Genomic DNA, 16,579 nt, shown 5'->3' on the forward strand with positions numbered 1-16,579 from the left:
TACTCGAGTGACACCAAAGTCACATGCAACCAGAAGTTTGCATAGTATAATAAACCTTAAAAATTGCTGTGTTTCCAACTGCTGGATGAAAACATACATCGGAATGGCTAAAGTTAAAAAGCCCAATGATACAAGAGCTGGTGAAAACGCAAAACCCAATAGGAATTCTCACTCATTGGTATAAATTGGTACAACCACTTTGGACAATTCTTTTATGGTGCCTATCCACGCTGAAATATGCCTTTCCTATGACCCAAGAATTTTACTTCTAGATATAAATCAAACAGAAATTCCTACATTTCTAAGAACACCTAAAGTCTGAACAAGAATTTCATGGCAGCATTATGTATAATGGCCCCAAGCTGAAAATAAATTAGATTTTCTTCAATAGTAGAATAAAAATATAATATTTCATCATAAGAATATAGCACATTCTTATGATAAAATATTATATTGTAGTAAAATTGATTATTGCAAAAAGTAGATACAGAAAGTATATTCAATAGGTTTCATTTTATATGAAGTTGAAAAACAGATAAAACCAAACTATGGTGTTAGAAACCAAGATATGGCTATCTTTGGGGAATTGGAGGGGGCAAAAACCTAGGAGTGGCATGGTAGGGGGGCTTATGGAGTACTGATAATATTCTATTTCTTAACCTGGGTGGTGGTTATATGAATATGTTCATTTTAAGATAATTTATTCATCCGTACACTTAACAAATGTGTTTTTTCTATTAAAATATCCTATTTCAAGAAAACACATGGGCAGGCACACATGTATGCACATGCAGGCATACACACACACACACACACACACACACACACACACACAAACACATGGCATTTTAAAAAGAAGGGAGAAGACCCCACTCACAGGAATTTCTATGCTAGGTTTGCACTGGCTCTATTTCTCAAAACTCATCTCTGGGACAAAACATTCAACTGACATTTGAGGATTTCTTTTCTCCCCCAATCATGTGGTATAATGTTTGGCAAATGGAAATGACACTGGTTCTTCCCAAACCATGTATTTCTGTAAGAAACAGCCCATGGGCCACATTCATCTTCCCCTTGGAGAGGTATTTAAGCATCACTCAACCCTGTGGAGTAGGCTTATTCTTGATTGGGAGAAACAGCCAACACTCATTGCCTCTGGAAACTTGCCCTGAACATTGAGTATCATGGAGATTTCTCAACAAAGCATGGTCAATCTTGTGAATAACTTGGTGAACTTGGTGATCACATGTTTCCACTCTCCATCTATTCACCACCTTCCCATGAACATGTACGTGCCTATTTGTTCTGGCTTTTGCAACCAACCTTGCAAAATCTATCTTCTACAGCTCCCAAGGCATGAGGGTTTGTTTTTTTTTCCCGATTACCCTGCTGGCTTAGTCCTGGCTTCATCTTCAAGCCAGAGGCCTGGGTGGTCTTTGAGAAATCAGAGGAAAGGTCATTAATGAGAGATCATCTCTCAAAAGTGATCTTTTATGAAGTCGCAGGCTAAAACCTCCCTGGAGTCTTGTCTTCTCCTAGTTAGGTAAAGATAGTATCACATGAGCTTGGGCAAGAAGTTGGAGGAGCTCTGAAATGATGAAAATGCAAATGAGAGTCTCAAAATAATCCAAAGCAAATAATTTATTTTAATAAGTTAGCCAAGGCCAGGCGCAGTGGCTTACGTCTGTAATCCCAGCACTTTGTGAGACCGAGGCAGTCGGATCACGAGGTCAGGAGATCGAAACCATCCTGGCTAACATGGTGAAACCCTATCTCTACTAAAAATACAAAAACAAAATTAGCCGGGTGTGGTGGCGGGCACCTGTATTCCCAGCTACTCGGGAGGCTGAGGCAGGAGAACGGCGTGAACCCAGGAGGCGGAGCATGCAATAAGCCGAGATCACGTCACTGCACTCCAGCCTGGGTGACAGAGCGAGACAATATCTGAAAAAAAAAAAAAAAGTTAGCTAATAAATACCTAGTGAGGGATTAATATGCAAATGATATATGGTGAAAACATAGATTACAATAATGAGCCCATTGCCCATATGTCATTTACCTTACTTTTAGGATATCTGGCTTGTATATCAGTTTTTAAAGTAGGGCCTGAAAACTGACAGCCTGCAGGACTAATATGGCCCACAGACAGGTTTGGTTTGGCTTGCACAATTGTTTTAAAACTCAGAAACTTTACACTAAAATCCATACTTAGCAGCACCTCTTTAAAAACTGAAAGTTATGGCAACATGTTGACACATTAACAATTTATTGGAGCCACCATCTCCCATTGCCTTATACCAGAACTGTTTCACTCATGTATATTGCTTGTCTAATCCCTTTAGGAATTTGTGTTTTCCACCATTATAAAAGTGTCTGTCTTCGTAAATAGGTTCCATGAAAGGGGAATCATAATCATACCTGTTCCTAGGCTCTGTTGGTGGGATGTGCTTGGGCAGTTGTATTTATTATAATGTTACCTCTCACTCCACCTCTCCACTTCTCACCCTGGGTTGACTTTTGACTTCACCAGAAATGGCACCTGAATCAGAGGTGGCCCATCCTGAAGCTTGCCAGAGACTTCTGGCCAGACAAGAAAGAGTGAACAAGGATAATCACATTCTTTGCTCAGAGTTTGGAATTAGAAAGCTGAGCAACTGTTTCTAGTTAGTGACGGAGAAAATTGGAGACATTGCAAAATGCGCTTAGCATCACAGCAAGTCAAAGCCCTATGCAAGCTGAGCCGGGTGGTAGAGAAAGTCCTTGGAGAGGGGAAAATGGACTTCATGCACTGAAAGAGCCAGTGATAAGACACAAGGTTGCCCTGAAAGGCTGAGAGCACAGCTTTGTCCCCTTGAGTTCATTCTCAATTCTAGTTCTGGTGAAACCTAATGGACTTGGTTTCCAATCCTTGGATGTACCTGACTTAGAAAAACTTTTCCCCAGTCATCCTATATCCACCCTTCTTCTTAGGGAAATAATTCACTGAATTTCCTTAAGGGAACCATTCCACTATGAGAACTAAGATTACCTGAGAATGAATCCTATGCACAGGGGAGAGAAGACTTACACCCTAAATATTTCAGATGTTTCCTATTTCTCCAGAAATGCTTTTACTCATCAGAAGGCTCTCTAAGCCTTCACTCAGTGTATCTGCCTATATTTAAGGCATAGTTGGGAAATAAAATAATTACGAAAATACATTTTGTAAGTGTTTATCGAGCATCATCTGTATATGATCCAATATGGTAAAGACTGAGAGGGAAACAAAGATGACCCAATTTCCTGCACTCAAGGGGCTTACAATCTAATTTGTAAGACAAAAAATGTATATGAATTGCTATTCATATTGCAGAATGAAATAAACAGTACAGTAAATAGTTGCAGATCCTTAGAGTCCTTAGGAGAGAGAGAGGAGGAAGTTATTCTCTTTAATGGAGGTTAGGGGGCTGCTTGGTAATCTGGCTTCCTGGCAATGAGGGGAGGCAATGATAGTTGGAGAACAATTTACGAGGAGACACAGACAACAGGGCAATGTTGATGGACATGAAGGGAGGCGACAGGAAAAAAAGAATATAAGAGATCTGGAAGTACAGCAGGACAGAGAGAATAATCTCTTTCATAAGAACCCTGGGGCATCGCTGGATGACATACTATTGCCCCCACCACCGTAGCACCAACACTGGGTATCGAGAAGGCTCAGAGGAGCAAAACGTCACCATGGATTTGGAATTCTTCCCAAGGGGACCTGCCTTCAATGGGGCTGTGAAGCTTTGTTTACATTTTAGAAGAGGGTGAGATGCAGCAAGAGCCTCCTGATTGAAAGGAACCATGGGAACAAAGGCATAGGAAGGCAAATTCAGGGGCAGTATTGTGTGCTGGGGGAGAGGGAGCGTGAGCAGACAAGCCTAACTGGATTGATCATTCACAGTGAAGAGTGCTGGAAAAACGCTGTTGATAAGGCTGTCTGGAGCCGGCCTGTGGAAGGCCTTGGATTGCAGGACAAAGGGTTTGGACTTGATCCTGGAGGCAGTGGGAGCCAGAGAAGACTGGGGCAAAGGGTTTACTTGATGGAAGAGTTCCTCATTCACTAAAGAAAAGCACCAGCACAGCTCATTTTTCTCCTTAGAAAACAATCACAGAATTTAGTTTTAGATGCACCCCCAACTCAGGGAAAAGCATATACCAGCCCCTGCAAAGTCTCCCGGGGGGAGTTCATGAGTTCAGACTCAAAGCACAAGATGTGTTTTACTTGGCATTTAAGCATTTCTATGGGTGATGCATGTCCTCAAACGAGGACAGACCGATATGATTATACACTTTATATCAGCTGATTCTCAGTGGTGCCCTTCCTCTCCACCATTCAGTCTCTGACCCCTCCACTTCCAGATATCCAGAGTAAAATGGTTATAAGACAGATTGTATAATTTCTTGGTGGCATCTGTGTGGTGTAGATTCTCCGGGTAAGGGCTTTGCAAGAACTGAACTACTGTTTTCTCAAGCTCTCGAGGTCTCAATTAGTCCTTAGCAGTGGATGAAAACACCTAGCATCCTGTCTGGCAGTGGGGCCTGGCACATGGCAGGAACTCAGCCAGAACTTGTTAGTAACAGTGTTTATGATACACAGGGTTGTAAACTGAAACTTTTGATGTATTTCTTCTTTCTTTCTCCCTTCCTTCTTGCTCACTTACTTCCCACTTCATTTCTCTTTCATTTCAGCTTTTCTATTCAGCTCATTCTTGTTTCTTCCCCCTTCGTTCCCTCTTTTCTTTTTACTTTCTATCTCCTTGTAACTTTCCTTTCTCTACAGGAACTGGGAAAGACAAGGGTGTGTGGGCGGTCATGGCTCCCCTCCAAGGAAAGTGTGAGGCTTTGGGCAAAATAGATCTCTCATTTCTTCCAAACATAGGTCTAATCTGAACTGTCTCCAGGCTCTAGTCTCCAATCCAACTTCAGTGGTTTTAGTTGGACTCCATGAGAAGGGACCCCAGGGATGCTGTGTCTTTAGTCTTGTCTTGGAGAAACCCAGCTTTCCATGCGTCTACTTGTCTCGCAGACTGGGGCACCCACGTTCCCTTTCCTCAAGTCACCAGCGCCTCAGAGAGACTCTTCAGAGTGAAATGCCTGGCTGAAGAGAAGCAGGACTTCATTAAGAGTTTGATTTATCCCCAAATGATCTATTGTTATGTATCAAACATGTTTTCCCTACAAACTAGTTGGCAGAGAGCACACAGATAAATTACTACAAGATGTAACCAGACAAGCTGTTCAAAAGGGAAATGGTTCTCTGTGTGTGGAGCTCAGGAGAGCACATCTATAAACATGTGTTGGGAAATCAATTTGGTGTAAGTTTGCAAAAGAAATGCACTGCTGTCCCCAAACTACCAGCTTGCTGTGATATCTGACTGTTCTTTTGAGATCGTAGTCCATTGTCACAGTGGTGAGGAAAGAGAGAGGTACAACCTACTCTGCAGTGTCTTCAAGGGGGAAGGAATACCAGGTTTTCCATAGGCAGTTGCAAATTCTCTCCCTAGGCACAAGTCAATTCATCCAATTCATTCTCTGGAGACAATAGGTTAGAGTAATTCTACCAACATATAACAACATTTAGTTGATGTTATGGTAATTTGAAAAGAATTATAGTAACATAATGCTACAGCACAGTACTATGTAGTGTGATGTGGAAGAAAACCCCCGGGTGTGGCTTCAGAGAGAGAAGTGTGTAAATCCCTTCCTGACCATGTGCAACTTGCTAGTTTGGTGACCCTTGGAAAATTTCTTCACTTTTCTGAGATTTTTGTCCTTTTTCTATGAAGCAGTTAAGTGTATACAGGTTGAATATCCCTAACCCCAAAATCCAAAATCTGAAATGCTCCAAAATATGAAACTTTTAGGGCACGAACATTTCACCACAAGTGGAAAATTCCATGTATAAGTACTAAAACACACTTCAGTTCATGTACAAAATTATTAAAGAAATACTGTATAAATTACCTTCAGGATAGGTGTATAAGGTCTACGTGAAACATAAATGAATTTCATGTTTAGACTTGGAGCCCATCCCAAGATATCTCATTATGTATATGCAAATATTCCAAAATCTGGAAAAAAATGGAAATCTGAAAGACCTTTAGTCTCAACATTTCAGATAAAGGATACTCAACTTGTACTACTTGCTTTGACAAGACTTGCAAGAATTACAGAACACATGCAACCTGTCCTATAACTGCACTGTGGCCAATAAATTAAAAGTGCTTACATTAATTCCTTAGTTCCTTCCTCACATGAGCTACATTTCGAGTGCTCAAGAGCCACATGGGGCTGTGGCTACTGTAATGAGCAGCACAAATATACAATATTTCCATTATTACATAAAGTTCCATTCAACAGTGTTGTCCTAGAACATGCCAGACACAAAGTTAGGTACTTTACACATAATTTTCTCTTGTTTCAAAATTTTCAAACACCTTGGCACATACAGCTTAATTAAAAGTCCATCTACCCAGCAAATCTGGAGTGCCCTTTGATAATCTGTTGCACAAAACTGTCCAAGACTGACTCTACCTAGTATTCTAAGCTGGCTCAAGTCTACAAGGCATAGTGATTGCTGAAAAATTGGAGAAGGTCAAAAACAGAGGACTTCTGGGCCTTTACCAAATGCATATATATGAGAGACTTTGGCTGCAACCACAAAACATATCTCAGTAGAGATGACAATGAGAATAGAAAGAAAGTGGAATCAGCAAAGGAAAAAAATAGTCCTGTAGGAATAGCCACCAAATACTCTTGCTTTAAACATGGTGAGGACAGCCTAAGAAACCTTCTCATGATTCATGTAACAGTCTTGGAAAAATTCCACGGTAGATAAAAGCTACTCCAAGATATGTAGCTGAAGCTTAGGAAACTTTCTCAAGGTCAAAGCCGAGTTATTCCAAATTTGCTTTCATTTCATTGAAGACCATCTTGACTCTTTGGGGTGAGTCCAACACATCTATGCTGCAGCTGATCATATTGTAGCCTGCTGAGAAGGACCTCTTGATCTTCAGAGCACATTTCCTGGCAGAAAAAATAAGGCAAGCACAAGGTAAGGTTGCCTTCCACAAGCAAAAGTGAAAAGAACAAAAGCAATAGCTACATTTGTTAAGTGCTTATTGTGTACCCTGTTCCATTAATATTACACTGGTCATCTGATTTAATCTTCACCATAACCTTATGAAGAAATATTAATAGCCCCATTTTATAGAGGAAGAATTGAGGCAATAAATGGCTAAGAACCATCCAAGGTCACAAGCTAGTAAATGGTAGAGCCAGGACTTGACCCTGTGCAGTATAGCAAGAATTCACATTCTTAACCACTGTGCCTGTTAGTGTAAGTGATCTCTCTGGCTTTCTCATTTAAGTTTCTAAAAATAATGAATTCTTATACAATCTTTAGGGTTTTCCTTCTGCAGCTTTTCTGGTCATTGTAGAAAACAGCCGTACGTATTACATAAAATTATAGCATTAAAAATAATGATATAAATACTGCTTTTTTTGACAATGCATCTTATAGCTCGTATATAAGCAAGCATTTCACAAATAAGTGAAAAATGCAAATAAGACAGTGAGATTGTTGTATCTTTGAAGGTGTGGGATCATTTTGTCTTGAATGTTTGAGTGAAGACATTGTCAAATGAAAATGGGCACTTAGATGGGGAGGGTGGTCCACAAACTAAGATTTGTAGATCTGCTGCCTATTTTTGTAAATAAAGTTTTATTGGAACACAGCCACATCATTTTTAGATTGCCCATGTTTGGTTTTGCACTACAATGATACAGTCAAGTAATTGTGACAAACTGCATGACCCACGAAGCCTAAAATATTTACCATCTGGCCCTTTACAGAAAAAGTTTGCTTACCCCTGACTTAGATGACAGTGACAAAATTATGTTCTGATAGTCTGTCTTAACTTATATCTGTCATTTTCAGTTGGTTGAAAATGTGGGATTTCACTGGTACAATATCAATGAAATTTGACATTATTTAATTTTACATAACCCAAAACTGCAAATAAGAGGAGCTGACAGGTCAAATGGCTAACATTTATAATGAAGCATTGTTGCAGTTCTGAATTTGACAGCCAAAGGCAATCCTAAATAAGATAGAATGAGAAGCTGCTCCATGATTCTCCAACCTCTCGTCCACTTCTGTCTATACCTCTAATCACAAGTAATCATTGTCATTATTCTTGTTATTGTTTTATTTACAAGGGTTTCACCTTTCCGACCTATAAGTTTCTTGAGGTCAAAAGATTGCCCTTTCATTAGCCCGGAACTTGGCACAGTGTTTGGTAGGAGACGGGCACATAGTAGTAGCTGAATGAATAACTACATAGCATTGAGTTAAAGAGTCCATGCTTAGGAGAGTTAGGGAAGCTGCTACAATACAGAGATGTTTGGCCAGAGTGCTATCTCAAAGACTGGGTGAGCCAGCAGTGAATTCATAAAAGTCACAGGGTTATTACCTAACCAATATGCAAATATATCCCAGGCTAAGTGAGGAAATCATGGCTAACTTTTACTGATCACACATTATCCTCTAGAGACACACCTTTCTCAGCTCCTTACATTTATTTCATTTAATCTTCACGACGACTCAAGGAAATAGGTTATTCTGTTTATTTCATAAGTGAGGAAATAGAGGCATAGAGAGGTTTATTACCTAATCCCAGCTTACCCAGCAAAAAAAAAAAAAAAGGTAGAAATCAGTCTTAAACCCAAGGAGTCTGAAACCAGAGACAAAATTTTCAATAGTTATGCTATATTCTTCTCTATGTGGCTGTATCTGTGACTTCTTCCTCTTCAGTGGTTTCCAAGACATTCTATAGGGAGCTCTCTGAGAACATATATTTTTACTTTTCTAACAAAAACCAATTGCCCAAACCTAGTTTGTTGCATAACTATGTATTTTATTGCCAACTTCCTAGTAACTAGCCTACACAAAAATAAAGCATATCTGGTGAACAGGGATAGGCATAACATACTCTATTGCCTTTATATTTCCAGCACTCATTTGGAATTTACTCTGTTATGCTTTTCTATGAAATTAAAATTATACTCTTTCAAATTTTGAAATACTGGAAAACTTTAGATAAAAGTCCTTGCTAGCCATATCCCAGTCTTCTGTCCAGTAGAATCAATATCACCCAGGAGCTTGTTAGACATGCAGAATCGAGGCCCCATCCCAGACTGACTGAATTGAAACCTGCATTTTAACAAGCTGACCAGGTGATTTATATGCACTTTAAAGTCTGAGAAATATTGACTCTGTCATGGCAGAATGATTACCATTGATTCCCCCAAAGAGAACAATTTGGGTACCTCTGGTTAGATGGGAAAGAGAGGCAGGCTGATAAAAACCTGATATGCTTGGGGCAGAGGCCCCATCCTAGCTGTGAAAAGACCTAGTGGCTTATAGCCCTGACTGCTTTTAAAAGCCCCAGAACCCAGGCTTCTCACCATACCAACTAATTTAGAACCTTTGAGGTGGGAACTATGTACCAGTATTTTTTAAAGATCCTGGGGTGAAGGTTAGTCCCTCTGTTGGAAATGGGTGTTCTTTGTAGGAGAGGAGGGAATGTGCCTCTATTTGCCCTCTTCAGCTGGGGAACTGACACTCACCTTTAATGTCTCAGTTTATGCCTTAATGTTTTTTTCCTCCAGGAAGTCTGAATTAGGTGCCCCTGCGTGCTCCACAGCACCTACGTTACTTTTATCAAAAGCTATTGTAATTTCCTGTGTACTTTTTTCTGTGTCCCATTTGCCTCAAAATTTCATGATGGCAACACAGTAGCCATCTTGCTCACATGTGAACAACAGCTGCAGGAATGAGCACTCAGTGCACACTGATCATGTGCCAGTCCCTGTGCCTCTATTACCTTAGTTAAGACCCATTGCAACCCTCTTATCATCTCCATTTTCCAGGTGACAATTGAAGATTTAAGAAAGTGAACTTGCCTCAGGTCACACTGCTTAGAAGTCCTTGGCGCTATTTTCAGTTCCTGGCACCTAGTAGGGTGTTCAATAAAGATTTGTTGAGTGAAAGAATAGAGGCATGAGCTATTGTCTTTTCAAGCCTGCCCACACCTTCTGTGGTGGAATTAAAGCCACACTGAGATTTCCTCCCCCTACTCTCCACCCCATCCCACACTCACTGGAGCTCAGCCTTGACATCTTTTAAGTTCTCTGCCACAAAATAGATGGGCTGAAAGTCCCAATCTTTATATGCCTGGATGGCAGCAGCTTCTGCATCAAAGGGCTTGTATTCTGGCTTGTTTGACAGAATGTGTTTAAAGAAAAAATCAAATGAGAGCGAAGAGACCAGATGTATAAAATTTTCCAAAGTATTTACTTTCAGCTTAGAGTCTCAAGCTGTGTTTCTCAACCTGAAGGCGGAGGACATAGTGTGGGAGGATTAGGGCATGGAATTGTGCAAAGGACCTTAATCCTCAGCCATGTCATATATTTTCTTGGAGTGGAAATAAGCTTTATTCTCCACTCCTAGATGTACTGTTGGATTGTAATACTGTCATAACAAATAAAATGCGAGCTCATTTAAAATTATCAAATCCATATTAGCTTTCCATCATCTTAGTAAGTACAAACAGCAGCGCTAATACATTTTGTGGGGTCCAGTGGGGATTTTTGAAGTTATTACTAGTAATAAAAATTCCAAATATATATTTACTGTGCAATGTACTGTGAATGCAGATTATCTCATATAATTCTCCATCAGCCCTTTGAGGTAGGCACTATTATTCTTGCTTTATACATGAGGATCACAAGATATTTAAAAACAGTGGTAATCGTATTTCCTGCTTAATAGTGTAATGGAGAGTAAACAGCTGGGGAACTCTGTCAGGTCAGTGCCAGAATGCCCTCCCCCACCAAAAATGAATCCATGGAGGCTCAGACAGCTTGGAGTGGGAGATGGGGAATGCTAATAACTATGCCTGGAAGTGACAGGGAGCCTCATGTAGACTGACAGAGTCTAAAATTTGGGAGTGGGTAGTAAGCCAGCAGGGAGGTGGCAGATGCCCAGACTATTTAGCAGGGCCTAGAATGGGTGTCTTAGGATGAGAATGGTACCTGTCTAAGGCAAATGAGTTATCACCTTGGGTTGGATGTGGAGAATATGTATGGACCTCCAATGTCTAGAAAGAGCGCTTCACATTTACAAGTATTCACTGAGTCCCTACTGTGTTCTGCGCACAATGCAAGTGGCTGGAATACGGTTCTGAGCAAAAGAGATATGGTTTCTGCCTTAATCAGACTTGTTTAGAGAAACTGTTCAAATATTTACATGAGGCACAACAAAACTGTAGCAAGTGTGATGAAGGAAAGGTACAAGGTGCTATACAAGCATCCAATAGCAGAATCTGATTTCATTTGGGGGTCTCAGAAAAGGCTTTCCTGAAGAAGTACTGGAGAGAGAGGAGAGCATTTCTGGCAAAGGGAATACTGGTGCCTAGATCCAATCCCCAGAGGTTCTAAATTGATTGATATGGTGATGAGCCTGGTCTTTTAAAAGGGAACAGCTCTTGGGAACTGGAGAGAGAGGAGAGCATTTCTGGCAAAGGGCCCCGAGGTAGAAGGAAGATAATACATTTGAGAAAGTGAAAGAAAGCCAATATGTCTTGAGCTCAGTGTGGGTGAGAAAAATACTTCTGTCTCGGAGGAGGTGAGACTCTGCACCAGCTATATAGATAGAGACTTTGACCCCAGAAAACAAGACAGGGAATGAACCATTGAAACCTGAGCCCACGAGAAGACTAGAAGGGCTAAGGCTATTGAAGTATGAGTCTGAACTTCAATTTGTCATCGCAAAGGATGCAGGTGGTCCCAGTGTAGCCCTCAGTATACTGCCTGACAAGTGTGCAGGCAGCATGTACCCTGCTTAGGGCCAGGAAAGTTGTTTCAGACCTAGCTCCACCTCCTTCTCAATTTGGTATTACTGGGATTCTGCTGACCCCATTGTATTGCTTAGAACATTGCTACTCAAATTGGAGTCTTAGACTGACAGAATTTCTAGAGGTGGGGACTGGGAGTTGTGTCGAGTGATCCTTATGTAGTTAAACTTTTGGTAATGGTGGTTTAGAAATGTGATCTTCAACCTTAACTGCACACTAGTGACCTAGAAGATCTTTAAAATTATTGATGCCTCAGCACCACCCCCACAGTTCCTGATTTAATTGCTCAGAATGTTTGTTGGGCATTGAGAATTTTGAAAGCTCTTCAGATGACAGTAATGTTCAGCTAGATTTGAGAACCACAGATTTAGAGGCTAGTTCCCAAATGCCAGTCCACAGATCAGCTGTATCAGAAATATCTGGAGTGCTTATAAAGAAATCGCCAGCCCTACTTCAGACCTAACATGCCAGAATTTCAAAGGGTAAAGCCCAAGAATAGGTACTTGAAAATATTTATCCTGACACTGAAAACAAATATGGGACCACCACGTGATTTTTGAACCTATCTGGGCTTGGGAGGCCCTGATTTAGATTGAGGCATCTGAAACTGTAATCTGATTCAGTCTGTGGCGGCGTCCAAGGTTCTGCATGTTTAACAAGTTTTAAGGTTGTGCTGCTCGTCTGAGGACCACACTGCAAGCAGCAAGGGTTCAGGAGACCCAGAGGAAAGAATGGGCAGCTTTAATTTAAAATCTGTAAAGGGCTGTACCTGAAATCTATTAGCACAAGGGACCCTATTTTCATGGCCCTCTCTCTTTACCAGACCACTTTCTTTAGGGCAAGGATTGGGCCATTATCGTGTCTCCATTGCTAGCATCGAAACACAGTGCTCAGCACATGTTAGGAACACAATAAATGGGTTTTGAATTGACTGAATACCATGACGTCCTTAGGGTCTAAGCTGTGGAGCCAGCTGAAGGTGAGACATTGCTATAATGCGGGCCTTCTGCCACTTCCAGTCATAAATTCCAATTGGACGGGGTCCAACGTGAAGCTGTGTGTTACCAAAGCCTCCTCTGTAGGGGGTAGGGTCAAAGCAGGCCTCTGAAATATTAATAATTCTGAGCAGTGACCACAGCTATGATATTTACAGACCCATGAAGCGCAAGAGACAGCCTGAGGTTGCTCACACAGCCAGAGACTCCAAGGACTTACTCTGCTCCAAATGGAGCATGTATATTGCCCAATCCTGCCAAAAGCCATACGGTTCATTAGCTTTTACTATACAGAGAAATGCGCCAGGCCTGGTGCTAAAATGACATGATAAAGCATATTTGACAGCAATAGTCAGAGGAAAAGGCACAGTGGGAACGGAAGAGCTCTGTGGGACGTTGCTCATGCCTTTGGAACAGAAGAAAAATACCTCTGCCTCTCGATTTGGAGACCCAGGCTGGTTGGAATCTGACAAGGACTTATTACTTTAGAAACGTTTTTCAGGGATTTGATTTCATCCCCTGGATTCTCTTTGCCTGGTGATGGATGTTTTTCTCCTTAATATTTTTTGATGCTGTGACTATTTGTGTGGTTTGTGAGTTAGATATTGGGAGGGGGTCAGGAGAGGAAAAAGACACAGAGAGAGAAAGAGTAAAAGACACAGAAAGACAAAGAGATAGAGAAGGGAGGGAGGAAGAAAAATGCCCACAACTGTAAGTGAGTGGAAAAGAGTGGATGAAGAGCAGTGAGGAAAGGAGATGGGATGTCAGAGGAGGGTGGATGCTAGGAGGATCCAGGTCAGGGCCCTCCCTTCATTTGGGATGGATGGTCTTTATACTTAAGGCTGGTCTTAGTGTGTTCTGATGGGTACTTATGTAATCTCTGTCTTCTTTCCAAGAGGCACAAAACTAGAATTTCTGGTCTCACCTTCAGTCCTAATAACTCTTTGCCTCCTGCCTTGCCATGAAATCTCTTCCCTAATTGTTTTTCTGCCACCATCACTCCTGTCCTTCCTATCAAAGACTACATGGTCTGGCTCAGGGACATTTACATTTATGTGTTAGAACTTTCTCAGGCTGTTATACCCCAACTTAATCTGGTCCTACCACACTTAAGTCTTTTGCCCATCTTCCCCCAGTGCCTTTGGCTCCCTTCTCTGGGCATAGCCTGAGACAGGGTTTCATGCTCTGCTTGGCCCACTCTCCACTCATCTGAGTACAGATTCCCCCTGGAATGTATTCCAAATAGCCCAGTGTTTCCCAAAGTGTGTTTTCTGGACCATCTGCTTCAGAGTCATGGAGTTGGGGTAGAGAAAGGGAAAAAAGGGATTTTTTTTAACATGCAGATTCCTGGGCTCGGTTCTCCAACCCCTAAACCAGACTGGGGACTGGAGGTGGGGGCAATTTTGAAAATATGCAGTTTTAATCCTTGACCCAGGATTGCGAAATATAGTAAAGTTTAAGAACCTCAGCAAGACCAGCCTTCTGGCTTCCCAGATTCTTTCTCCTTCAAGACCTGGCTCAGAAGATCAGAGACTCCCCTCCCGCAACACACAGGGTAATGTCAAAAGCCTGGGCCACACACCTTACACAAATCACTTAAACTCTCCAGGCCTTTCTCATCTTAAAGCAGGGGGCAGCATTGAAGTCACAAGTAGGAACAAGGACAGGACAGGTGACATCTAGACAGGAATGACGCTGGCCTGATGGGAATTAGGGGAACTGGAAGCTGCAAGCTTCAAGCAGGCAGCTGCTCCTCCAGTGCAGTCAATTGTGGCCAGATGGGAATGGGGCCCAGAGATGCCAAATCTTCTGAAATTTTTAGGGAAGCTAGAAATCAGAATTTCTATGTAACATTTCCCAATTTTTTTTTTTTTATTCTCTGGCTAATTTCTTTTTAACGGGCCAAATAAAATTACACATGTGGGGCATATTTTAGCTGTTGAGTCCACATTTGCAATCTCCAGACTAAGGCTCCCTAAGGTTGCTTTCCACACGAGAGTGCTGGCATACGGCGATCCTGAAGCCCCCTGGTTAAACAGGTTGTTCTGTTGCTGGTTGGAGCTTCCCAGCTGATCCCTCTGCTTTCCAGGAAAACCCCACAGCTCCCCTTGTTCTAAGAATCACTAAGGTTCTCAAAGCTTAGTGTGCATCACAGTCACTTGGAGGGCTTAGTTAAAACACAGCTTGTTGGGTCCTACCCGCAAAGTTTGCGATTCACAATGTCTGAGTTAGGACTTGAGAATCTGCGCTTCTTACAGACTCCCAGCTGCTGAAGCTGCTGGTCCAGTGTTGGCACGTTGAGAACCATGGCTGTAGACCCATTACTCACTACTTGTTACCTATGATGTTTGCTTTCTCCTTAAAACCAGCACTCAGGGCTGGGTGCGGTGGCTCATGCCTGTAACCTCAGCACTTTGGGAGGCCGAGACCGGTGTGGATCACCTGAGGTCAGGAGTTTGAGACCAGCCTGGCCAAACATGGCGAAACCCCGTCTCTACTAAAAGTACAAAAATTAGCCAGGTGTGGTGGCAGATGCCTGTAATCCCAGCTACTCAGGAGCCTGAGGCAGGAGAATCACTTGAACCCAGGATGTGGAGTGAGCCAAGATCGCGCCACTGCACTCCAGCCTGGGCAACATGAGTGAAACTCCATCTCAAAAAAAAAAAAAAAAAAAAAAGGAAAAGGAAAAAAGAAAAAAAAAAAGAAAACCATCACTCAGGTTTTAGCTTCTCTCTCATTCCTGAGTCACTTCGTACTGCAATACTTTGTGCCTTCCTGGTGTTGCTCACATGATCAAGAACTCATTTTAACAATAGCTGCCATGTTTGAGTGCTTACAGTGTGCCAGCCATTTGTCCAAACACTTTACTGTGTAATCGTCATCAGACCTTACTAAGGAAGGTATCATCCTCAATCTCTACATGAGGAAACCAAAGCCTGGTCTACATGAGGAAACCAAAGCCTGGAGAAGTTAAGTAACTGGCTTAATATCACAGAGTTTAGTGAATGGTAGAAACAAGGTCCCAACCCAAACTGTCTGGCTCCAGAGATTGGTTGTCATATAACTTATAGACCAAGCTGCAACACTTTTGAGAGTGACACGAGATACTATTAATAATTATGCCAGGACAACAGATATAAACCAAGACTGACCTTGGCAAACCAGGACATGAGGTTGTCCAACATATTCTGCCATTTTAAATGTACTCGTTGAATGGTTACAATCTTGTGAAAAGACGACAGGCTTTACAGCCAGCCAAATTCAGGCTTAATTGAGCAGAGGCGTGAAAGTACCCAACACAGTGCCTGCTGCATGGTAGGAAATCGGTAGATACCTGTTTCCTTCTGCCAAGTTTCTAATCCTTTGCTGGGCAACATGGGCAAGTGTAACATGTAGCCCTTATTCTGGAAGCCCTTACAATAGAGTTGATAGAAAAAAGGAACATAAATGAAAACTTTTAAAGATTATTCTAAGACTTTAGTAATCCGAGGCTGAGCATAAGAGTTCAGAGATGGTGATTCTCTTAGCTTTTGAATTTTTAGGTGAGTAGAAATTTGAACTGTGTCTTGAAGACTGAGTAGAAGGCAGGAAGGTTAGAATTGGGTATAGCTAAAGAAAGACTGAGTTTATTCAGAAGTG

The sequence above is a fragment of the Homo sapiens genome, chromosome 12 (assembly GCF_000001405.40).
Source record: "Homo sapiens chromosome 12, GRCh38.p14 Primary Assembly".
Taxonomy (NCBI): Eukaryota; Metazoa; Chordata; class Mammalia; order Primates; family Hominidae; genus Homo; species Homo sapiens.